The following is a 24,432-nucleotide window of genomic DNA, read 5'->3' as shown; positions in this document are numbered from 1 at the left end:
AAATTAAAAACTTCTGCTCTGCAAAGGAATTGTCAATGGACTGACTCTGTATGTCCATTCATGTCTCGTTGTGTCCTAGACTGACTCTGATTGGGCCACAGTGGCCTTACCTGGTAGCGAGCTCAGATTACACCCTGGTGTTCAAAGCGTGCCGAGTAGGAAAGTGTGCAGAGAAGGCAGGACAGCCGCCCGCCAGGTCTCTGGAAAACCCCCCAGGACAGGGATGTTCAGGCCATGTGATGCTATACTAAGCTATTTTACGTGAGGAAGGGGTGCTTTTTAAGAATCTATCTAGAGGGCTATGGGCACAGATCTGTGTTCAAAGATTTTCTGGGCACTTACGTTTTGTGAGAAATCAGATAGAGACAACTTTCTGAGCCGCAGCTTTGTCACGTGTAAAATGGGCATGAACGCTTTTCCCCTTCGTAGAGGTTTGTGGCAATTAAGTGAGGTGAGCGTGCAACGCTTTTTGAACAAAGCTGACACGGAGGTACTTGTTCAGGAAATAAGAGCTGCTATTATTACTACTCTTTGTAGCATACTGTAAGGTTTCCCTTCCTCTCATCACAGCTCTGAAGGACATCATCAAGGTGAACTGAGCCCCTTCTGTTTCTTCTGTTCCCTCTAACCACCTCTCCCCTTCCTTCCCCCACTGCCCCCATTCTTAGCCCCGCCCCTCCCACAAGCCCCGCCCCTGCCCCGGCCGTTTCCCTGGCCCCGCCCACCAGCCCTGCACCAGCACAGCCCTCGCTCAGCGGGGCAGGAAGCTCATGGTGTAGTTTCGTGGGATCGTGGCAAAGCCCACGTGTTTGGGGGACACGTCGATATCCTTAGGCGACTGAGGGGACTTGAAGCGAAAGTTCTGCATGATGGTGGTGAAGAAGAGAAAGAGCTCCATTCTGGCCAGGCCTTCTCCAAAACAGTACCGCTTTCCTGAGGAGGAGAGGCAGGAGGGGTGAAGGTGAAGCCCACTCTCAGTGCAGCCTCAACCCCTACTGACCCCCGGCTGCACTCTCTAGGGAGGAGGGGTGGAATATTATGGCCTGAGAGACTTTCAGAGGAGACTCCGATCCTCCCTGAGCTTCAGTTTCCTTCTATAAGAGATATAACAATGGTGAACCAATATTGATATATTATTACTAACCAAAGTCCATAGTTTACATTAGGGTTTACTCTGTGTTATACAGTTCTATGGGTTTTGAAAAAGGCATAATGTCATGCCTCCATCATAGATGGGGTGATCCATGCCAGGTGTAGCAATGGGAGGTTTAGATGCCCCTACCCCCCAGATACACTTGCAAATATGACTGCTGTGCTGTGCCATTATCTCCTTTTCAGGGAGCTGAAGAATCTGCTGTGTGACCCTAGACAAATAAATCTATGGGGGAAGATGTTTCCTTCCCTTTTACCTGGGCGCAGGTATTGGGTGCTTGGCAGTTAAGGGAGTATCAGCTGGTGGCGGCTCAATGGTAGATTCTAACAGGAACTTCCAAGCTGGAGAAATACCAGGCTACACCGCAGAGAGGGGAGGTGGGTGAGAGAGGCCCCTGCTGGTGTGAGCCGTGGCCTGGCAGCAAACAGTGGTCTCTTACCGATGGAAAAGGGCACAAAAGCATCACTCTTCTTAAACTGCCCCTTCTTATCCAGGAAGTGCTGGGGATTGAAGTCCCGGGGGTTGGAGAAGAACCTGGGGTCTCTCAGCACGGAGCCCAGCATAGGGAACACTTCAGTGCCCTGGGAGGGAGGAGGAAGGTGTGTGTAATGAGGCAGGTTGGGGGGATTGGTGAAAGTACACAGGGGCTGCAGGGGGAACTAGGGTGCCCCAGGTGAGGGGAGTGGCAGGCATGGAGGAGTTGGGGACCTCTGAGGGAGGAGCTTTGGGGGATAGAAGTTTCATGTCTCTGAAACAGGAAGTTTGGGAGACATGGGGTCCATGTTCCACTAGGCAGGGTGTTTGAGGGACCTGAGATTTGTGTCCCTAAGGCAAAAGGCCTAATGGAAAGGGGGCTTCTGTTTCTTAAGACAGGAAGTTTGGGAACATGGGGTGTATTCTCCTGACACAAAGAGTCTGGCGAGATGCAGGACTCAGGACTGTCTAAGTGGAAAGGTGGAACAGATGTGGTGGTTGGGGAAGTCTTTTTTGACTGATTGAGGGAGTGGGACAGAGTCTAGAACACTAATGGGGGCAGGATTCTGGGGACACAGAGAGAGGCTGGAAGTCCCCGTAGTCTGAGTGGTGGTGGTGGAGGGGAGACAGCACCTTAGGGAGGAAGAAATCCCGAAACTTGGTGTCCTTGTTGACCCTGTGGGCCAAACCCATGGGGAGCATGTCTCCAAATCTTTGGATCTCGTGGATCACTGCCTCTGTGTAGGGCATCTTGGCCCGGTCCTCAAACTTGGGCTGCCGGTTCTTGCCGATCACTCTGTCAATCTCCTCATGGACCTTGGCTGGGGGAGGAGGGGAATGTGTTTAGGTGTCTAGGGGTCTTAGAGCAGGGATGATAGTCCGAATAGGTAAAACACGGTGGTTGACATAGCTCCACCTATGACACGGAGGTAGACCATTCATAACAGAACAGACATCAGCCATTCGCATTGTTGCAGCAGGATCCTGTTAAACCAGGTTGTGTCAGAATCACAGGGTAGGCACAGGGAGGAACTTAGGGGATGATCCAGAGGAGCAGGCAGCGGACACTCAGTGGGCTTGGGACAGGAGTGACTGACCAATCAGTGCAGACATTTTCAATATTTTAATAGCTAATGAGACTCAGCTGATGCCTATCAGCTGAATATTGTCCTGTCTCTGGACAGCAAGGCACGTCTCAGGGTCCTGGGATCTGGGATAGGTGGGTACACTGCACCAGGCTCAGGGGAGTTTTGAGGGTCTGGGGCCCTTCACTTTCCTCCCTTTCCAGTCTTACCCTCCACCTCTGGGTGCTTCATGAGCAGCAGGAAACCGTAGCGCAGGGTGGTGCTCACGGTCTCAGTGCCCGCAAAGAAGAGGTTCAGGGTGGTCATCACCAGGTTCTTCAAGTAGAACTCTGTGTTGGGGTTCTTCTCCTCCTGCAGGGAGAGGGCGGTTTAGACCAAGCTCACTCTCCATGCTCTTGGGGCCCTTCTAGGGCTTTTCCTTTGGAGCTACCTCTCTTTGGTCCAGACCAAAGGTGGAAAGAGGGACCCTAGATTTGCCAAACTCGCTCCAGGTTCCAGCCCTTGCCCTGGCTGCTGGCTTTGCCCAAAATGCTCTTCCTTCTCACCTTCTTTACCTCACTGATCATCTATCCTTTAATTGTCAACTTAGCTGTCAGTTGGTTTTTTTTTTTTCTTATACAGACTTGGTCTTGCTAAGTTGCACAGGCTGGACTCCAACTCCTGGGTTCAAGGAATCCTCCGGCCTCAGCCTCCTGAGTAGCTGGAACTGCACATGCACATGACTATGCAGGCTCACTTGTTAACTGTTAAAAAATTAATTCTTTTTTTTTTTTTGAGACACGGTCTTATTCTGTCACCCAGGCTGGAGGGCAGTGCTGTGATATCGGCTCATTGCAACCTCTGCCCACCCTGGGCTCAAGCTATCCTCCCACCTCAACCTCCTTAGTAGCTGGGACCGCAGGCATGCACCACCATGCCTAGCCATTTTTTTGTACAGACGGGGTTTTGCCATGTTTCCCAGTCTGTTACTTTTTTAATGATAGGAATATTTGGAAAGAGAAGGATGAGGGGAGACGAAGAGAAAGTAGTACAGAGATGGCAAGATGAAGAGTCAGAAAAAAAGAGTTTTTCTGAGATACAAGCACAGAATTTTAAGCAACAGCATCCTATTTCTTCCCTAAAAATCTTGAAACTTACTGTGGAGGAATCCCTCCCTTGATCCTTTCTCCCTGAGCTTTGGATTCCCTAAAGCCTTCCCACATGGGAGGCTGACATCCAGAGGTAGGCGGGGACCCTGCAATGTAAAGCCAGGTCACCTGTCCACAGAGGTGTGTCTGCTAACCAGGACATGAACGGTTAGAGAGCATGGTGGCTAAAAGCACCAGCTTTAGGCTCAGAGAGACCAGGGTTTGAGCTTGGGGGACCATGGCTTCCTCACTGTGTGACCTCAGTTAAGACACTTAAACTCTCTGGGCCTCAGTTTCCTCATTTGTACAATTGGGGCCATGATTGAACCTCCTTCAAGAGCTGTTATAAGTGTTCCATGGCGGACTATCTTAAAGCACTTAACGCAGTGCCTGGCACACGGTAGTGCTGTAGAAGTGCTTGCTATTCTAATGCACGTGCATAAGTCGTGCTTGTGGGTGAGGGCTCAGTAGATGGAACAGCAGTGGTTGATGTAGTTGGGATTGTCAGGATTTTTTTTTTTTTTTTTTTTTTTTTTTTTTTACAGGGTCTTGCTCTGTCACTCAGGCCGGAGTGCAGTGGCATGATCCCGGCTCACTGCAACCTCTGCCTCCCGGATTCAAACAATTCTTCTGTCTCAGCCTCCTGAGTAGCTGGGATTACAGGCGCATGCCACCATACCTAGCTCATTTTTGTATTTTTAGTAGAGACGGGGTTTCACCATGTTGGCCAGGCTGGTCTCGAACTCCTGACCTCAGGTGATCCACCTGCCTCGGCCTCCCAAAGTGCTGGGATTACAGGTCATGAGCCACCGCGCCTGGCCAATTGTAAGGATTATTATGACGAGGGCTAATTTGAATGGGCCTGTGTCGTCTGCCCACCCCACTCCCATCCTGATTTCCCTCTCCCTGGCTTTGCACCTGCCTGCACTGGCTGCTGGGATGTACCTCCTGCATGCGGATGAGAAAGGAGTCGATGAAGTCCCGTGGGGAATTGGGATCCAGCGTGCGCTGGTTGTGCTCCACCTTCTTGGCGATGAAGTCCTCCAGCCCTTGCAGCTCCTTAAAGGCCTGTTGCTGTGGTCCTGGCAGGTGTTTCATCACCGAAGAGAACATCTCATAGAGCTGGGGTTGCAGAGAGAGGATGGGAAGGGAAGGACAGCTGTCACGGGGCAGGAGCTGATGGGAATGGGGATTTGTTTCATAGCAAGGAAGGAACGGAGTTAAAGGCATCTGTCCAGGTGTTTAGGTATTTCAGTGGGGTTGGATGGAAACTTATATCTAAGTTTTCACGTGGATTAGGTGCCAGGGCCACGGTCTAGTAATTTAGGTGAGAAGAACTGAGGCATATATCCAGGTTTCAGGTATGCAAATGAGGCTGGATTGGAGCACACATCTAGGTGTTCAGATATTCAAGTGAAGTTGAGTTGGAAGACACCTGTCCAGGTGTTTAGCTCTTCAGGTGGGGCTGGTATGAGGTGAGTGGCACCTGTCTAGGTATTTAGGCATTCAAGTGGACTTGGTTGGAGACAGCTGTCCAGATACTTACTGGGTCTGGATTGGGGGCTTTTGTTCAGGTGTTCAGGTATTAAAGTGGGGCTGGTGAAGATGTTGAAGTGGAGGGGATACCTGTTGAGGTGTTTACCTATCCAAGTGGGATGCACTGGGAGCACCTCTGTAAGGTGTGTGATTGGAAAGGGTTGGGGAACACTTATTTGGGTGTCAGGGAATAATCTATCTAGATATTTATGTGTTTAGGGTATTGGTTAGGGCACCTGTCCATGTTTTCAGGCATTTAAGTGGGTGAAGTAGAGGGCCCTTGGCCAGATATTCCAGTGGGCTAATCTGTGACATTTGTGTAGATGTGAAATGATTATGATGGGCTGGATTTTGCAGCACCAGGTGTTCAGGTATGCAGGAGGCGGGTTGACGCAGTCACTTGTCCAGGTGTTAAAATATTCAGAAGAACTGGGTAGGGAGCACCTGTTACAAATTACGGTAAGTTGGGGATGGGAACATGTGCCCAGGTGAGAGAGCTGAGCTGAGGGTATGCATCCTGCCAGCAGGCTCTGTTTTGGGGATCATCTGTTGAGCTATCCAGGTGTCCTTGGAGACTGGGTATTGGGCATCCCTCCTGGGTTCTGGTGCAACCGTCCAGTTGTCCAATATCGGGGACTGATTTTGAGGGGACACTGTCTGGAGGGGGGTGGGAGTTTGGGGCACCTGTCTCCAGGTAGGGGAGCAGTTGGCAGGTTGTGGTAGGGGCGTCACTGGCGGGCTGCAGCCAGTTACCTGCCCCGTGGAGGTTGCCGTGAACTGGAAGCTTCCCAGCATCATGCGCAACAGTGACAGGAACTCTTTGTCCTCATAGTCAAAGCGGTCCCCAAAGACAATGGAGCTGATGACATTGGAGACTGTGCGGCTCAGGAAGAAGGTGGGATCGATATTGGCGCCTGCAGGTGTGGCGGGAGAAGGGGGTTGGGGAGAGAGTCAACTCAGAGGTCTGAGGAGAGTCAGAATTCCAGGAGGCAGGGCCCTGTTGAGCCGAATCCCAGCGCCAGACTCCAGGGCTGGAAGTGCGGGCCCCTTTCCCCACCTAGTCCCCATCCCCAGGCAGAAAGCGCGGGTTCCCGCCCTCGCACTCGGGGTCCCCTACTCACCGTGCGTGCCCCGGAGGGCGTCGATGAGGAAGCCCGCCTCCTCCTGGATGCGTTCCTCGATGCCGCGCTTGCCCACGCCAAAACCCCTTAGGGTGGCGATGGAGAAGCGCCGGAGCTGCTTGGCGCGCTCCCCGTTGCTGAACGCCACGCCTGGGGAGGTGAACGCGGGGGTGGAGAGAGGTCAGGGGGCGGCGGGAGCAGGAGCGGACCAGCTCCAAGGGGCTCCCCAAGGGTGGAGCAGAGAGGGAGTGGGGTGGGAGAGAGATGGATTCAGCGCGAGTGCCCAGGAGAGCTGCAAACTCAGTCAGAGAAACACGAGAGCACGAGAGAGAGAGAGAGAGAGAGAGAGAGAGAGAGAGAGAGAGAGAGAGAGAGAGAGAGAGAGAGAGAGACCGGGTAGAAAGAATAAGAGAATCAGAAGAGAAGCAGAAAGGCCAGACAGACAGATGCAGAGAAACAGAGGGATACGGGGATACTCCATGGAGGAAGGGAAGGAAGTGGGGAGAGAAAGAGAGAGATGGAGGGAGGGGAAGTGAGATATGGGGAGATCTGGGAGGAGGAAATAAAAATGGTGAAAGATTCTTAAGCTGAACTGGAGAAGAGAGAAAAATATGGAGACAGAAACAGAGAGGATCGGGAAGGAGGACAGACAATTACCAGGAGTTGGAGGCTGGAGATGTGGAAGTAGGAATACCCTGAAATCCTAAGACAGAGGAAGAAGTGGGAGAGGGAAGCAGAGAGAGGAGAAACACGGAGAAGCACAGAAGCCGAGAGCGACAAAAAGACAAATGAAGACAGAGGACCAGGGCTGGAAAACAGAAACCCAGGATGTCCTCAGAGATGGAGAGAGAGGGGAAAGAGGAGACTCCAGTGAGAGAGAAGGAGGAGACGGGGCAGAGAGAGGCAGGGAGGAATCACGACAGGGACGCTGGAGACAGGTGAGGGACGCACAGGGAGAGGCCACGATGAAGGGAGATGGGGAGAGAAGACCAGACAGGGGGCTCTGCCATAGCCTCCAGTGGGCAGGAGAGTCAGGGAGAAGGCTGGGGACACGGAGACCATTGCATCCACCTGGCCACCTTCCCCCTCTTGGGCACCCCCTCACCATAGCCTTTGAAGAGCCAGTCGAAGGTGGCCTGCTCGCCTCGCCCGCTGAACTCCTCAGCCTGGTCCACCAGAGCCTCCTTGACGGCATCATGTCCGCACAGCACCACGACCCGCCGGGGCCCCAAGTGAATGGTGAACACAGGGCCATAGCGCTCACTGATCTGTTGGAGGCAGGTGGGAGTGGTTAGAGGGAGCAGCCCCCACTCTGAATGGGCCCAGCACTGAGATATCATGTACTGGGATGCTTCGCCCCCAGGTTCTCACAGTCAGGGAGCTGGACATCCCAAGATCCTGTCTTTCCTGCTAGGACCCTGATGCTGAAACTCCAAGACTCCCTTTCCTAAGACTCTGGTCCACACTGGTCAATCCCCTGCCACAAAGCCCCAGCCAACTGGGCAGCCCCCACCCCGTGCCACCCATCTCCCTGCCTTAGGACACCTTCATGAGGGAGTTGTACATCTGCTCTGTGTTCAGCTGCAGGTAGTTTCCAATGAAGGGCAATGGGGTGGGTCCCGGAGGCAGCTTCCCCCTGCTCTTCCTCTGCCGCCAGACTGACATCAAGACCATCACAGTCAGGCAGGCCAGCAAGGTCACCAGAAGCAGCCCTGAGGCCAGCATGGTGGCAGTGGGATGATAGATGGTGATGGCTGGGGTGGTTTGCCTTTATACTGCCTGAAAAAGAGGGATGGACTTTGGTTGATTATATAATCACCTCATTTCACCTCCCAACTACACCCCAACCCTGAATCCCACACAGCTTAGGACACAGCCAGCAAGGGAGGAGGAGAGGGACCCCAGGGAAGCTGAACAGGGAGGGGAACTCCAGACTAAATCTGGTACTTCAGGAGGGTTGCTGCAGGGCTGTGGATTTAGGAGCGGGCAACAGATAAACTGTGGAACTGAGGAGTTTGGAATATTTGCACAGGGGAGCACCTGGACTTTGGATTTGGGATCTGGGAGTGAGAATGCACCCCAAAGTTGTGGATTTGGGCATTCCACGGGAGAGGAATCCAAAGGTCTGGGTTTTACTAGGGTGAGATGGAAGTGTGGCTGTGCATCTGGGGGTCTTCTGTTGTGGAGGATGCAGGGTTAAGGGTCTCAGGACGGGGGATTCCAGGCATATGGACTTGAAAGTCTTGGGGCTAGGAAGACCCAGGGCTGTGGGTGTGGAGTTTCTGGGAGGTGGAGTGTGTAGCAAGCCCAGCAGGTGCTCCCAGAAAGCCCAGCAGCCCAGCACTGGGCCCAGGGACTGACTTGATTTTGCTTTGACCCAGAGCTGTCTCTTGATGCCCAGAATCCTCATTGGAACCTCAGAGTGAGGCCAGGATGGGTGCCATAGAACCTCCGCTGCCCATCTCTGGCTGGGAAAGGGGCAGAAGACGAGAGCCATATTTCAGAGGAACTTTCCCCACACGTGGAGAAGAGTACCTCATGTTACCAGTTGGCAGAGGGGATTGGCTAGGTCTGGAGAAATAGTAATAACAACCCTCAAATGCTGGAAAAATCTCAAGTGTCCCAAGGGTTGTAATTTACGAAGAACTCCACTGGTTTCCAACCCAGATTCTTAGGGAAACCCACTAGATTGATTGTATCATCCCTATTAATACTATGATTGTTATTTATGTTTCTCATTTTATATAAAGATCTACAGAGGACAGAAAACAGACAGTGGGCAGGGGACATGTGTGAGTGGCCCTGAACTCCCATCTCTCTTGCTCTGCGTCTTTAGTTCCACTTTCTGGATTTGGTTTTCCTGCCAGTGGAAAGGGAGTGTTTGGGAAGAGAAGACCACGTTTGAGGGTGAGTTAAGTCTCCTTTAAGGGCGATTCCTGCTTTGTCAGGGGCTACTACTATTAGTAGGCAGAGGGAACAATCGCAGAAGAGATTGGGGTAAACTCCAGTATTAGGCACAGAGGCAGATCCTGGGGTGGGTGTGAGTGGAGAAGGGATGAGTAGCCCTCCTGTCCTTCCCTCAAGGAAATTCTTCCTTAGTAAACAGGACAGTTACCCTTTGGTGAGCATGGTCATATATGGGAAGATTAAGTCTAGGTGTGTATGATCTGGTTGAATCTTTGTAACAGTGAGGTTGGTTCATCATGATCATCCTCATTTTGAAGATGAGCAGATCTAGACTCCATAAATCCTCTTGAGTGAGGTCACACAGGGAGTAAGTGAGGGAGCTGGGATGTGAACTTTCTCCTCGCCCCCCTTCATTGACTGGCCTAGATCACCCTGGGAGTCAAGTGCAGGCCAGGCTTAGCAGGAGGTGAGTGCTGGGACTGGCATCAGCAGTGGACACACTGATGACATTGGCGGGTTCTGATATCAGCATCAGGTGTGTCCAGGGAGGGAAAGGCATCGTGTTGGCTTTGGGACTGCCCCCAGGTGTATGCGAGGATGGGAAACAAGTTGGCACTGAACTTGACACCAGGAGAATATTGAAGTCATGTTTGGTGCCAAGAGGGCTCTGTGTGTTGTCTCAGGTGTCATTGAGGGCATAAGAGAGTCCTGCTTCAGGAGGGCATAAGAGTGGCACCATATAGGGTCTGAGGTTGGTCCCAGTGGGCTCTGACATGAGCATGAGGCAGGTGTTGATATTGGTCCTATGTGGGTCTGAGATGAGCCTCAGCCAGACCCTGAGAGGGGCTCCAGATGGGCACAGGACAGGCTCTGATGTTTGGACCTTCCACTGTTGCACCTCTCCTCTGGGTCACCAACTGTGGACAAGTGGAGGTGGGTGAGGTTGGCCCCCCCAGGACTGACATCTTGCTCAAAGTGTTCTAGGATGCTGAGCTCTGAGACCTGTGTGGAGGGAACAAAGATCAGAGAACAAAGGGGACAGAGGAAAGTTGTTTGTTGATTTTGGAGGGGAAGAGGTGGGAAGGAGGATTAGCACCAGCTTGGCAGATATCAATCCCTCTAATCCTGGTCACCAGCCTGCACCTGGGCTGGCCCTAAGCCTGGGCTCCTCCTTTTCCTTCTAGTTCCTTAAAAAGGTGGGAGATAGAAATTCGGGAACTTTGTTTCTCAGTGAGGTTGGCACTAGGAAGTGCACTGAGTGATCAGCAGGTTGCCATGATCTGGCCAGGGAGGGGGTGGGGAGAGACAGGTTTGGAGAACTCTAGTGTTTGTGGACATAGAGGTCAATCAATTTTGGACTTGTTGATTACCCTGGAGCATGGAGTGAGAGAATGGTGTCTGAAATCATGTGGGAGGGACTTGTCCCAGTGGGCAGTGTCTTGGGTACAGCCTTTCAGAGTGAGTTAGTGGAAAACCCAGGAAGATCCCTTTCCTTTGCTTGGCCTCAGTTTCCTTTTCTGGATGGATGGTGCAATGATTAAGGCCTGGATTGGAATCCTAACCTTATCCCTTCTTTGTTGTGTGGCCTTGAATAGCTGACTTTATCTCTGAGCCTTATGGAGCCAAGAACAGCTCTTACCTCTTCAGCTATTTAGGGGAGAAGTATATGTGTTAATGCAGGTGAGGTACATGGCAGTAAGTGCTCAATGAATAGCAGTTGTTCTCTTTCCTCTGTACGATGAAGCGGATGGATAAGATGTTCCCTAAACACATTCCTTGCTTTTACATTCTCTAGTCTAAAGCTCACAGATCTTTTCCTTTGGGAAGGAGGAAAAGGACAGAGTCTTTGGGAACCTCTTTCCCCACCCCTTCCTCAGCACAGCCAAGCTTTACTCCATGGAGCTGTGAATAGGAAATTAATCCTTCATGGCCTCCTGGAGTGTGGTGCTGAGTTAGGCAGTATCTGTGGAAGGACAGGCCAGCATTAGACTCTCAGGTTATTCTGGTTGGCCCTGGAGCCCTGCACAGGACTTTGCCCACCTGTCTGTCTACCGTTGTCTTGGATCCTGTCTTTCTATCTTCTCTTTCTCCTTCCCTGCAAGTCAATGTTTCCCTCAATCACCCTGTGTGCTCCTGCATCTTTGTATTTTGTGCCATTTTGTCCAGTGAGTTCTCCTGGATGCCTCTGCCATGTTTATCCTCATTTATTCAACTGTCTGTGTGTCATTCTGGTAGTGTCTATGTGCATGTATGTTTCTGTATGTCCATGTTGATACATGAATTTATGTGTGCACCAGGCTTTGTGGGGTGTATGTTTGTGCTTGATAATGGGTATCCATTCCAACTTATGTCTGCACATGCACATGTGTGTGTGTGCCTGACAGGGTGTGCCACTGTTTCTCAATGCTTGCCAATCTATGTGTCTGTCTCTGCATACAGCATGTGTGCACACATGATTTAGGGGTGTCTATGATGTGCATTTCTGTGTAAAACAAGATGAATGCCGCATATTCATGTTTGTATGTATGCATTCACAATTGGGTGACTACATATAAGTATGTGGATGTTCTCATGTGTGCATTCTGGTGTCTGTATGCAGGCTTGTGGGCCATGTTGCATACATGTCAACATCTGATATTTTCCTGTGCTCATCTGTGTTTGGATTAAAACAGTCCTAGCCCAGCTCCATTTATCCGCTTGAAGAAAACCCCAGAACTGTGGGAAGCTTTTTATGAGCATAATCTTAGTTAAACTCCTCATTGCAAGACTGTGAGGTTGGCTTTATCATCTCCATTTTGCAAATGAGTTAGGTAAGGCCCCCAAAGTTGGTTGTAAGTGACTTGCTTCCGCATTCCACAGCTAATGAGGGTAGAGTCTTAGTATGGTCTTGTGTGACTGTAAATTTCTTTCTTTCTTTCTTTCTTTCTTTCTTTCTTTCTTTCTTTCTTTCTTTCTTTTCTTTCTTTCTTTTCTTTTTGAGATGGAGCTTTGCTCTTTCGCTCTCGTTGCCCAGGCTGGAGTGCAATGGTGCGGTCTCGGCTCACTGCAATCTCTGTGTCCTGGGTTCAAGTGATTCTCCAGCCTCAGCCTCCCAAGTAGCTGGGATTCCAGCCACCACGCCCAGCTAATTTTTGTATTTTTAGTAGAGATGGGGTTTCACCATGTTTGTCAGGCTGGTCTCAAACTCCTGACCTCAGGTGATCCACCCACTTCGGCCTCCCAAAGTGCTGGGATTACAGGTGTGAGCTACCATGCCTGGCTGTGAAAGTAAATTTCATGCTGTTAATCACCACTTTGGACTGCCAGGCCCCACCTGTTTTTCTTTATGAAATATTAGAAAAACTGCCTGTAATCTCTTCTTCAAATACTTCCTTGTAAACATGTAACAAAAGTTTTCAAAATGTTAGAAAAAAAGTCTTTTAATAGGAGGGAGACTTGACCTTCTATAGTGTTTGCACTCTTCGGAACCTTAACCAACGACCTAGTTGGCCAGTATACCCCTCAGGCCATTGTCAATGAAGCAGTGGGGGAGTTGGGGTATTAGTGGTTGTGGTCAGAGAGTGAAATGTCTGTGTTTCACATTTCAGAGTGATGACAAGGATTAGGGTGGGGCTATGGGAATGTTGGCTGAAATAGAGTAAAGGAGGTCAAAGAAGAGAAGAAAGTCAAGATTCTTTTTTTCTGAGTGTTTGGACAGCTCACATCCATGGCCATGAAGTTCCTGCCTACCAGGAAAATGGCAAGACTTAGAGCCCAGAGATGGGAAAGAAGTTGGATAGATGACAGGGATGAACAGCTTTTTTTGTTTGAGACGGAGTCTTGCTCTGTCGCCCAGGCTGGAGTGCAATGGCGCGATCTCGGTCCACTGCAACCTCTGCTTCCTGGCTTCAAGCAATTCTCCTGCCTCAGCCTCCTGAGCAGCTGGGATTACAGGCATCCACCATCATGCCCGACTAATTTTTGTACTTTTGAAGAGACGGTGTTTCACCATGTTGGCCAGGCTGCTCTTGAACTCCTGACATCAGGTGATCTGCCCGCCTCAGCCACCCAAAGTGTTGGGATTACAGGTTTGAGCCACCATTTCTGAACAACTTTAAAAAATTTTTATTTTTATTTTTATTTTTTAAGAGGACGAAGATGTCAGCTGCCAAGTGCACTGATGAAGAGTTTCTTCTGGTAATGGTTGAGTAGCTTCTTTTGGAGCAAGCATCCCGTGAATAAAAACTATTAACTCTGAAGAAAACATTTTTAACAACCCAATTCCCTGAAATCACTGGGGGGTGAAAAAAAGCAGCAGATTCTGAAGGGAGTTAGGAGAAAGGGGTTTCCTTTAGAAAAAAAAAAAGAAAAGAAAAGAAAAAAGAAAAAAAATAGCTTTTGGTCTTCCTTACCACAGGAAGAATGGGAGATGGGGTCACTGCAAATTTATTCTAGAATATTTTTCATCTTATTAAAATCCTTTAAAATGCAGACCACTTCTTGACAGGGAGGGCTAGGTAAACAACAATTCGTAAGGGAACTAATTTTTTTTTTTTTTTTAACATGCTGTGTCTCTTTAAATGTAGAAAGGTGATCAAGATGGCTGACCAGATGCAGGTAGCATGGCCTTCTTCGTGGAGAGGAACTCCATTTTAAACAGATTATCTAGGAGAGAATGCTGGAATTCATCAGAGAAGAGAAGGGATTCAACAGAGAAAAGAAGGGAAGCACAGGAAGTGAGTAAGGAGAGGGGATTGACTGAAAGCTGAGAGTGGCTCCTGGATGAGGGGAAATTATAAGAGAGAAACTCCCAGGGCTCCACACTTTGAAATGGGCTTTTATGATCTTGGCTATGGTAGAAACCCTCAACCCACTTGGGTCTTGGGCCTGACATACGGAGCTCCCTAAAGATTGTGCAGAGACATTGCCCTGGAAAATGGAACCCACATGGAATCCCATTTGAGCCTAGAGCAGCCTCAGCTGAGTGCTGTTTTGAGAACCTGGATACTGGAGATCTATAGAAATGGTTGCTGCTGCTGTGCTGCTTCAAGTAAGTATAGAGGAGACCCAGCACTCCCAGGCACCCATGGGAGGGTCCTTTCTGCCTTGCTGCGGGCTGCTGTTGAGACTGAGATGTGAGTGAACCACATTCCCCACAGCTTCTTACCCTGGTTGCAGGCCCAAGGAACCATTTTGAGAGTTTAATACTGTGCCATGCCCTGCCCTCAGGCCCAGTTTGAGTTGACCTGGCTGCAGCCACCACCTGGCCAAGGAGGGACAGGGAAACAAAGCTCCTTTACATATACCTGGGACAATTTCCCCGACCCTGCTATGGGCTGCTGTGACAGGGAGACTTGAGCAGACCCCACTCCCCACAACTTCTTGTCCATACTGCTTACCAGAGAGGGGCCTGTCCTCTTTGGTCACAAGCCCACAGCTGGCACAATCATAAGAGTTTAATGTTGGGCTCTGTCCCCCTTTTTGCCAAGTCTGAGGTGATGCCACTGTAGCCGCCACCCAGATGGGGGAGGCACAGGGGAGAACAAGCTCTCCTAAGCACACTTAGGTCAATACCACTACCCTGCTACAGGATGCTGTGGGACTGGGGAGTAGCCCACCCAACCCATTGCATCTACCAGCAACACCAACATGGACTGCCTGGGTCCTAGTGGATTGCTCCACCACCACTACTGCCATCACCCATATCACACCAGGTTGTGCTTCCCAGGGGCCTGAGAACTTGCCCACATCCCTGTCCCCCAACTCCCATGACTCCTCTAAGCAAGCCACTAGGAAGCTCAAGAATCAGCCTCCCAGGACTCACTAATACCAAAGCCAGTAGACTGCTCTGGGGCTCAGCCATACTCTCCAAGCTGCTGCCACCACCAGGGCCCAAAGATGGGCTCAGTTGGCATCCACCACCCAGCTAAATTTCTCCTCGATCTCAAGTAATAACTGTACTCTAAGCTACCAAGGAAATCAAAGATACCAGTGACCCTGGGTACTGCCTATGAAGTCATACTAAGATCACACTACCATAGGCACCCAGAATCAAAGCCAAAGTATCCTACTCAACTAACAACATGCATACATTTTTCAGGAAAAAAATTTTCTCCTACAGGGCAATTAAAAAAACTTGAACAAGCTACTGCTACACAAGATTTGCAGATATCAATGAAAGGACACAGGAAACATGAAAAAGGAGAAAAATGTGACATCATCAAAGGACCACAATTGTCCAGCAACAGATCCCAATCAAAAAGAATCCCTCAATATGCCAGATAAAGAATTCAAAATACTGATTTTATAAAGCCCTACAAGATGCAAGAGAAATTTGAAAATCAATACAAAGAATTAGAAAATCAGTCCAGGAAATGAATGAGAAATTTACCTAGATAAATAACTTAAAAAAAAAAACAAGCAGAAACTCTTGAACTAAAAAAATTCAATGAAGGGAATACAGAATATATTCAAAAGCTTCAATAGTAGACTGGACCAAGCAGAAGAAAGAACCTCAGAACATGGCTGGGTGCAGTGGCTCATGCCTGTAATCCCAGCACTTTGGAAGACCAAGGTAGGTGGATTCCTTGAGGTCAGAGTTCAAGGCCAGTTTGGGCAACATAGTGAAACCCTATCTCTAAAATTAGAAGAAAAAAAAAGAATCTAAGAACTTGAAGACAGGTCTTTTGAAATGTCCTGTCTGACAAAATAAAGAAAAATAAATAAAAAAGAATCATCAAAGACTTTGAGATATCTGGGACTACATAGTGTGACCAAACTTATGCATTTTTGGTATTTCCAAGGGGGAAGAGAGATTTTAAAAAATTAGAACACCTATTTTTAGGAAGTAATTGATGAAAACTTCCACATCTAGCAAGAGAGTTAGACATCCAGCTACAGAGCCCCAGCAAATACATTGCAAAAAGAACTTCACATAATAGTACATTTAGAAAGTCTAAAGTCAAGAAGAAAGAAAGAATTTTAAAATTAGCAAGAGAAAAGCATCTAGTTACCTATTAAGAAAACTCATCAGACTAACAGCAGACTTTTCAGTGGAAACCTTACAGGCTAGAAAAGAAGAGAATGGCATTTCCAACTGCTGAAAGAAAAGTACTGTCAGCCAAAAATTTTATGTTCTGGCAGAATAAGCTTCATAAATGAAGGAGAAATAAAATCTTTTCTAGAGAAGCAAATGGTGAGTAAACTTGTCAACACTAGCCTGTTCCTATGGGAGATGCTCAAATGGGTCTTAAATATGGAAATGAAAGGTCAACACTCAGCGTCATGAAAACACACAGAAAAATAAAACTCACATTTCTTATAAAAACAACCTCATACATGAGGAAGAGAAAAGAATCAAATGGCAACATGGGAGAATCTCATCAAACCACAATGACAAAAAGAGAAAAAGAAAGAAACAAATAATTTATCACATAAAACAACTTAAAAACAATTAACAATATGACAAGAATAAAGCCTTGCATATCAATATTAACCTTGAATAAATGGATTAAATGCTTCACTTACAAGATATGTATTGGCGGAATACTTTAAACAACATGATGCCCAGCACTTTGGGAGGCCAAGGTGAGTGGATCACCTGAGGTTGGGAGCTTGAGACCAGCCTGACCAACATGGAGAAACCCTGTCTCTACTAAAAATACAAAAATTAGCTGGGTGTGATGGCATATGCCTGTAATCCCAGCTACCTGGGAGGCTGAGGCAGGAGAATTGCTTGAACCCAGGAGGCAGAGGTTGCAGTGAGTCGAGATCATGCCATTGCACTACTCCAGCCTGGGCAACAAGAGCAAAACTCATCTCAAAACAAACAAACAAACACACACACACACACAAACCATGATGCAACTATATGCTGCCTATAAGAAACTCACTTTACCTGTAAAGACACATATAGACTGAAAGTACATAGATGGAAAAAGCTATTCCATGCAAACAAAAACCAAACAAGCAGGAATAGCTATATCTTATACCAGTTAAAACAGATTTTAAATAAAAAACATTAAAAATAAAAACAAAACAAAGAAGGTCATTATATAATGATAAAGGGATCAATTTAGCAAGAGAATATAACAGTGCTGAATATATACGCACCGAACATCACAACCCCTAAATTTACAAACAAATACAACTAGACCTAAAGAATGAGATATACAGAATACAATAACAGTGGGGAGCTTCAATATCCCACTCATACACTAAACAGATCATTGAGAGACAAAATTAGCAAAGAAACATTAGCCTTTCATATGCTTTGGATGTGTGTCCCCTCCATATCTTATGTGGACATGTGATCCCCTATGTTGGAGGTAGGGCCTAGAGGGAGGTATCAGATCATAGGGGCAGATCCCTCATGAATGGCTTAGTGCCATCCCCTTGGTGATGAGTGGGTTCTCACTCAGTTTAAATGAGATCTGGTTGTTTAAAAGAGCCTGGGACCACCCCCTTCCATCTCTTGCCAGTGTGATACACTGGCTCCTCCATTGCCTTCCACCATGATTGTAAGCTTCCTGAGACCCTTATCAGTAGCAGATGCCAGTGCCATGCTTCATGTTCTGCCTGCAGAACTGTGAGCTGATTAAACCACTTTTCTTTATAAATTACCGAGGCTTGGGTGTTCCTTTATAGTGATGCAAAAATGGACAAATACAGACTTAAATTGGACTTTAACCCAATGGACTCAACAGACACTTATAAAACATTTTACCCAACAACTACAGAATATACACTCTTTTCATCAGCACATGATATATTCTCCAAGATAGACCATATATTAAGCCATGAAACATACCTTAACAAATTTTCTAAAAATCAAAATTATATCAAGTATCATCTCAGACCACAGTGGATAAAGCTAGAAAAGGATTCCATTCCATCAATACTAGGAGGAACTTTGGAAATGGTATAAATACATGGGCATTAAACAGCATGCTCTTGAAAGATCACCAGGTCAGCAAAGAAATTAAGCTGGAAATTTAAAAAAAGTTTGAAATGAATAAAAATGAAAACACAACACAAAAGTCTGTGGGATACAGCAAAAGCAGTACTAATAGGGAAGTTTATAGCACTGAATGCCTACATCAAAAAAGTAGAAAGGGCCAGGCATGGTGGCTCACAGCTGTAATCCCAGCACTTGAGGCGGTGGATCACTTGAGGTCGGGAGTTCGAGACCAGTCTGGCCAGTATGAAGAAACCCTGTCTCTACTAAAAAATACAAAAATTAACAAGGCATGTTGGTGCATGCCTGTAATCTCAGCTACTCGGGAGGCTGAGGTGGGAGAATGACTTGAACCTGGGAGGCAGAGGTTGCAGTGAGCCGAGTTTGCGCCACTGCACTCCTGCCTGGGTGACAGAGTGAGACTCCATCTCAAAAAACAGTAGAAAGATCACAAATTATCGACCAATGTCACACCTCAAGGAACTGGAAAAAGAACAAATCAAACCCAAAGTTAGCCAAAGAAATAACAAAGATCAGAGCAGAACTAAATGAAATAGAAACCACGAAAACAATAAAAAAGATCAACAAAACAAAAGTTGGATCTTCAAAAAGTTAAAATTAATGAACCACTAGCTAGACTAACCCAGGAAAGAAGAGAAAATAAAAATAAAAACAATCAGAAATGAAGAATGGGACATTACAACTGATAGGATAGAAGCACAAAACATCATGAGAGACTATTATGAACAGCTATAGCCTCACAAACTAGAAAACCTAGAGGAAATGAATAAATTTCTGGACAGTTACAGTCTATCAAGATTGAACCAGGAAGTAGAACTCTTGAACAGATCAATAATGAATAGCAAGATTGAATCAGTAATTAAAAGTCTCCCAAGAAGGCAGGGTGTGGTGGCTCATGCCTGTAATCGCAGCACTTTGGGAAGCTGAGGTGTGCGGATCACTTGAGGTCAGGAGTTCAAGACCTGCCTGGTCAACACAGTGAAACCCCATCTGTACTAAAAATACAAAAATTAGCTGGGCGTGGTGGTGCACGCCTGTAATCCCAGCTACTTGGGAGGCTGAGGCAGCAGAATCGCTTGAACCCAGGAGGTAGAGGTTGCAGTGAATCGAGATCATGCCACTGCACTCCAGCCTGGGTGACAGAGTGAAACTCCGTCTCAAAAAAAAGTCTTTCAAGAAAATAAATTCCAGGACCAGATAGATTCACAGATGAATCCTACCAAGTATACAAAGAAGAACTAATACCAATCCTTGTAAAACTATTCCAAAAAATTGAGGAGGAGGGAATTCTCCCTAACTGATTCTACGAGGCCAGTATCATCCTGATAACAAAATCAGACAAGAACACAACAAAAAAGAAAACTACAGATCAATATCCCTGAATCACATAGATACAAAAAGCCTCAGCAAAATACTAGCAAATCAAATCCAACAGCACATCAAAAAGATCATACACCATGATTGGGTCGGATTTAACCTGGGGATCCAAGAATGGTTCAACATATGCAAATCCATAACGTGATACATTCCATCAACAAAATGAAGGACAAAAGCCATATGATTATCTCAATAGGTGCAGAAAAAGTATTCAATAAAAATCAGCATTTCTTCATGATAAAAATCCTCAACAAACCAGGCCTAGAAGCAACATACCTCAACATAATAAAGGCTACATATGACAAGCCCACAGCAAACATAACATTTAACGGTGAAAAGATGAAAGCATTCTCTTTAAGAACTAGAAGAAGACAAGAATGCCACTTTCACCACTCTTATTCAACAGAGTACTGGAAGTCCTAGCCAGAGCAGTCAGGCAAGAGACACAAATGGAGGGCATCCAAATTAGAAAAGAGGAAGTCAAATTATCCCTGTTTGCTGATGATATGATCTTATGCCTAGAAAACCCTAAGGACTCTAAAAACAACTCTTAGATTTGAGAAATGAATTCAGTAAAGTTTTAGGATACAAAATTAATGTACAAAAATCAGTTGCATTTCCACATACCGGTAACGATCTAGCCAAGGACCAAATCAAGGAGGCAATACATTTGCAATAGCTACAAAGAAAATAAAATACATAAGAATATATTTAACCAGGGAGGTGAAAGATCTCTATAAGAAGACCTACAAAACACCAATGAAAGAAATTGTAGATGACATAAACAAATGGAAAAATATCCCATGCTCATGGATTTGAGGAATCAGCATCATTAACATGAACATACAGTCCAAAGCAATCTATAGATTGAATGCAATCTCTATCAAAACACCGTCGTTTTTCACAGAATTAGAAAAAACAATCCTAAAATTCATATAGAATCAGAAAAGAGCCCAAATAGTTTAAGCAATTCCAAGCAAAAAGAACAAAGCTGGAGGCATTACATTACCTGACTTCAAATTATACTTCAAGCCTATAGTAACCAAAACAGCATTGTACTGGTATAAAAATAGACACATATATCAATGGAACAGAATAGAAAACCCAAAATAAAGCCACCTACCTACAACCAACTAATCTTTGACAAAGTCAGCAAAAATATACACTGGGGAAAGGACATCCTATTCAATAAATATTTCTGGGAAGATTGGATAATCATTTGCTGAAGAATGAAACTGGACTGGTATTTCTCACCATATACAAAGATGAACTCAAGATGGATTAAAGACCTAAATCTAAGACCTGAAACTATAAAAATTTTAGAAGAAAACCTAGGAAAAATTCTTTTGGACACAGGCCTAGGCAAAGAATTTATGATGAAGTCCTCAAAAACAAATGCAATAAAACAAAAAATAGACAAATGGGACTTAAACTAAAAGAGTTTCTTCACAGCAAAAGAAAGAAATCATTTTAGGCAAGGATTACAAGGTGATGGCTAATGCCTTGTAATCCCAGCACTTTGGGATGTCGAGAAGTGAAGATCGCCTGAGGTCAGGAGTTCGAGAACAGCCTGGCCAACATGGTGAAACCCTGTCTCTACTAAAAATACAAAAAATTAGCCTGGCATGGTGGCACACGCCTGTAGTCCCAGCTACTCGGGAGGCTGAGGCAGGAGAATCGCTTGAACCAGGGAGGCAGAGGTTGCAGTGAGCCGAGATCGTGCCACTGCACACTCCAGCTTGGGCGACAGAGTGAGACTGCACCTCAAAAAAAGAAAAAAAAAAAAGAAAGAAATCATTTTATAAAAAGGACACCTACACTTGTATGTTTATTGTAGCAGTATTCATAATAGCAAAGCTATGGAATCAGTCTAAGCCCATCAACGGAGGTTTGGATAAAGAAAATGTGGCATATGTATAACATAGAATACTACTCAGCCATAAAAAAGAATGAAATCATGTCTTTTGTAGCAACATGGATGGAACTGGAGACCATTACCCTAAGTGAAAGAGGTCAAACCAGAAAGTCAAATAACACATGTTCTCAATTATAAATGGAAGCTAAACAATGGATACCCTTGGACATACAGAGTGGAACAAGAGACATTGTAGACTTCGAAAGGTGGGTGGGCAGGAGGGGGTGAGGCTTGAAAAGTTACCTATTAGGTACAGTGTTTACTATTTGGGTGCTGGGGACGCTAATAGCCTAGACTTCGCCATGATGCAATACATGCATGTAAGAAATCTGCATCTGTGACTGGGTGCAGTGGCTCACACCTGTACGCCCAGCACTTTGGGAGGCTGAGGCTTACAGATCACTTGAGGTCAGGAGTTCAAGACCAGCCTGGCCAATATAGTGAAACCCCATCTCTACTAAAAATACAAAAATTAGCCGGGTGTGGTGGCACACAATTGTAGTCCCAGCTACTAGGAAGGCTGAGGCAGGAGAATCGCTTGAACTCAGGGGCGGGAGGGGGGATGGTGGGTGGGCACGGAGGTTGCAGTGAGCTGAGATTGGGCCACTGCACTCCAGCCTGGGGCAACAAGAGCAAAACTCCATCTCAAAAAAAAGAAAAAAAATTGTTAAGATGGGCTTAACCTGTATGGCCCGTGATGTTAGCTAGTGTTGGTTCTACCCTCTCTAATAAGGAAGCAGTGGATGACAAGAGACTGCACTGTATCTCAAGGCACAAGCCACAACGCCTGGCTAATTTTTTTATTTTTGTAGAGACGGAATTTTGCCATGTTGACTAGGCTGGTGGCAAACTCCTGACCTCAGGTGATCTGCCCACCTTGGTCTCCCAAAGTGATGGGATTACAGGCATGAGCCACTGTGCCTGGCTGAAGCTGCACATTTTTTTTTTTTAAGGGACCAAGAAGCTGCCAGACATTTGGTTCTCCCAGCAGCAACCCAATGCAAACCAAAAATGAGGGAAATGCCCAAAATGGGGGGATCATACTGTCCCAAGATCTGAGTAGGATGTACTTCTGAAGGATGTACAATGTTCAATCCTAAGTATGACAAGCAGAAAGCTTATGTACTTGGTGAAAGTAGCATGTTTGTCCCCAAGAGGCATTTCATCTTGAAGACACGTGGTGCCACCCCCTGACTGAAAGCATTGGCTCCCCTGTTGAAGCTTGCTAGGGATTACAGCTTCTACTAACCAACATTCTACTTTCCACTTTCATGAGATCAGTTTTTTAACTCCCATTATGAGTGAGAATGTGTGATATTTGTCTTTCTGTGCCTGGCTTATTTTACTTAATATAATGTCCTCCAGGTCCACCCATGTTCCTGCAGATGATAGGATTTCATTCTTTTTTTTATGGCTGAATAATATTCCATTGTATATATAACCATGTTTTCTTTCCTTTTTTTTTTTTTTTTTGGTGGAGTTGCCAGGGAATGAACATGTTTTCTGTTTTAAAAAATTTTATGAAATGTTATTTTATTTTATTTATTTTAATTTTAAGTTCAGGGGTACATGTGCAGGTTTGTTATACAGGTAAACTCATGTCATGGGGGTTTGTTGTGCAGATCATTTCATCACCAAAGTATTAAGCCTAGTACCCACCAGTTATTTTTCCTGATCTTCTTCCTCCTCTCACCCTCCACCCTCAGGGAGGCCCCAGTGTCTGCTGTTCCCCTCTGTGTGTTCATGTGTTCTCATCATTCAGCTACCACTTCTAAGTGGGAACATGCAGTATTTAGTTTTCTGTTCCTGCATTAGTTTGCTAAAGATAATGGCCTCCAGCTTCATCCATGTTCTGCAAAGGGCATGATCTTGTTCTTTTTTTTATGGCTGCACAGTATTCCATGGTGTATATGTACCACATTTTCTTTATCCAGTCTACCATTTTGGGCATTTAGGTTGATTCCATGTATTTGCTATTGTGAATAGTGCTGCAGTGAACATACATGTGCATGTGTCTTTATGGTAGAATTATTTATATTCCTTTCAGTATATACCTAGTAGTGGAATTGCTGGGTTGAATGGTAGTTCTTGTTTTAGTTCTTTCAGGAATCATCACACTACTTTTCACAATATATGAACAAAAGATCAACGAGTCCAGCAATTGGTTATTTGAAAGAATAAATAAGATAGATAGACTGCTAGCAAGAATAATAAAGAAAAAAAGAGAGAAGATCCCCAAATAAACACAACCATAATGACAAAGGGAATTTTACCATGGGACACGCTGAAATACAAAAAAAAAATTCACAGAGACTACTGTGAACCTCTCTATGCACACAATCTAGAAAACCTAGAAGAAATGAATGAATTCCTGAAAACATACAACCTCCCAAGATTGAACCAGGAAGAAATTAAATCCCTGACCAGACCAATAACAAGTTCTGAAATGGAATCAGTAATAAAATCCTACCAACCAGAAAAAGCCCAGGACCAGATGGATTCACAGCTGAATTCGACCAGATGTATAAGAAAGAGGTAGTACCATCTCTACGGAAACTATTCCAAAAAAAATGAGCAGGAAGGACTCATCCCCAGCTCATTCTATGAAGCCAGCACCATTCTGATACCCAAACCTGGCAGAGACACAACCAAAAAAAGAAAACTCCAGGCCAATATCCTTGCTGAACATAGATGCCAAAATCCTCAACAAAATACTAGCAAACTGAATCCAGCAGCATATTAAAAAGCTAGTCCATCACAATTAAATAGGCTTTATCTCTG

General features: G+C 46.1%; 1 protein-coding gene across 1 annotated transcript; it reads right to left on the bottom strand.

Moving 5' to 3' along the window:
- CYP2A13 (cytochrome P450 family 2 subfamily A member 13) lies at window positions 498–8,242 on the bottom strand. Its single transcript, NM_000766.5, has 9 exons — window positions 8,042–8,242; window positions 7,602–7,764; window positions 6,497–6,646; window positions 6,129–6,289; window positions 4,785–4,961; window positions 2,922–3,063; window positions 2,261–2,448; window positions 1,593–1,734; window positions 498–933 (listed from the first exon to the last, which is right to left on the bottom strand). The coding sequence occupies exons 1-9, from the start codon at window positions 8,219–8,221 to the stop codon at window positions 752–754; spliced, it is 1,485 nt and encodes a 494-aa protein (NP_000757.2). The 5' UTR covers window positions 8,222–8,242; the 3' UTR covers window positions 498–751.

Source organism: Homo sapiens, chromosome 19, assembly GCF_000001405.40.
Source record: "Homo sapiens chromosome 19, GRCh38.p14 Primary Assembly".
NCBI classification, from domain to species: Eukaryota; Metazoa; Chordata; class Mammalia; order Primates; family Hominidae; genus Homo; species Homo sapiens.
The sequence above is the reverse complement of the archived record's forward strand: the minus strand, read 5'-3'. Positions and strand labels throughout refer to the sequence as shown.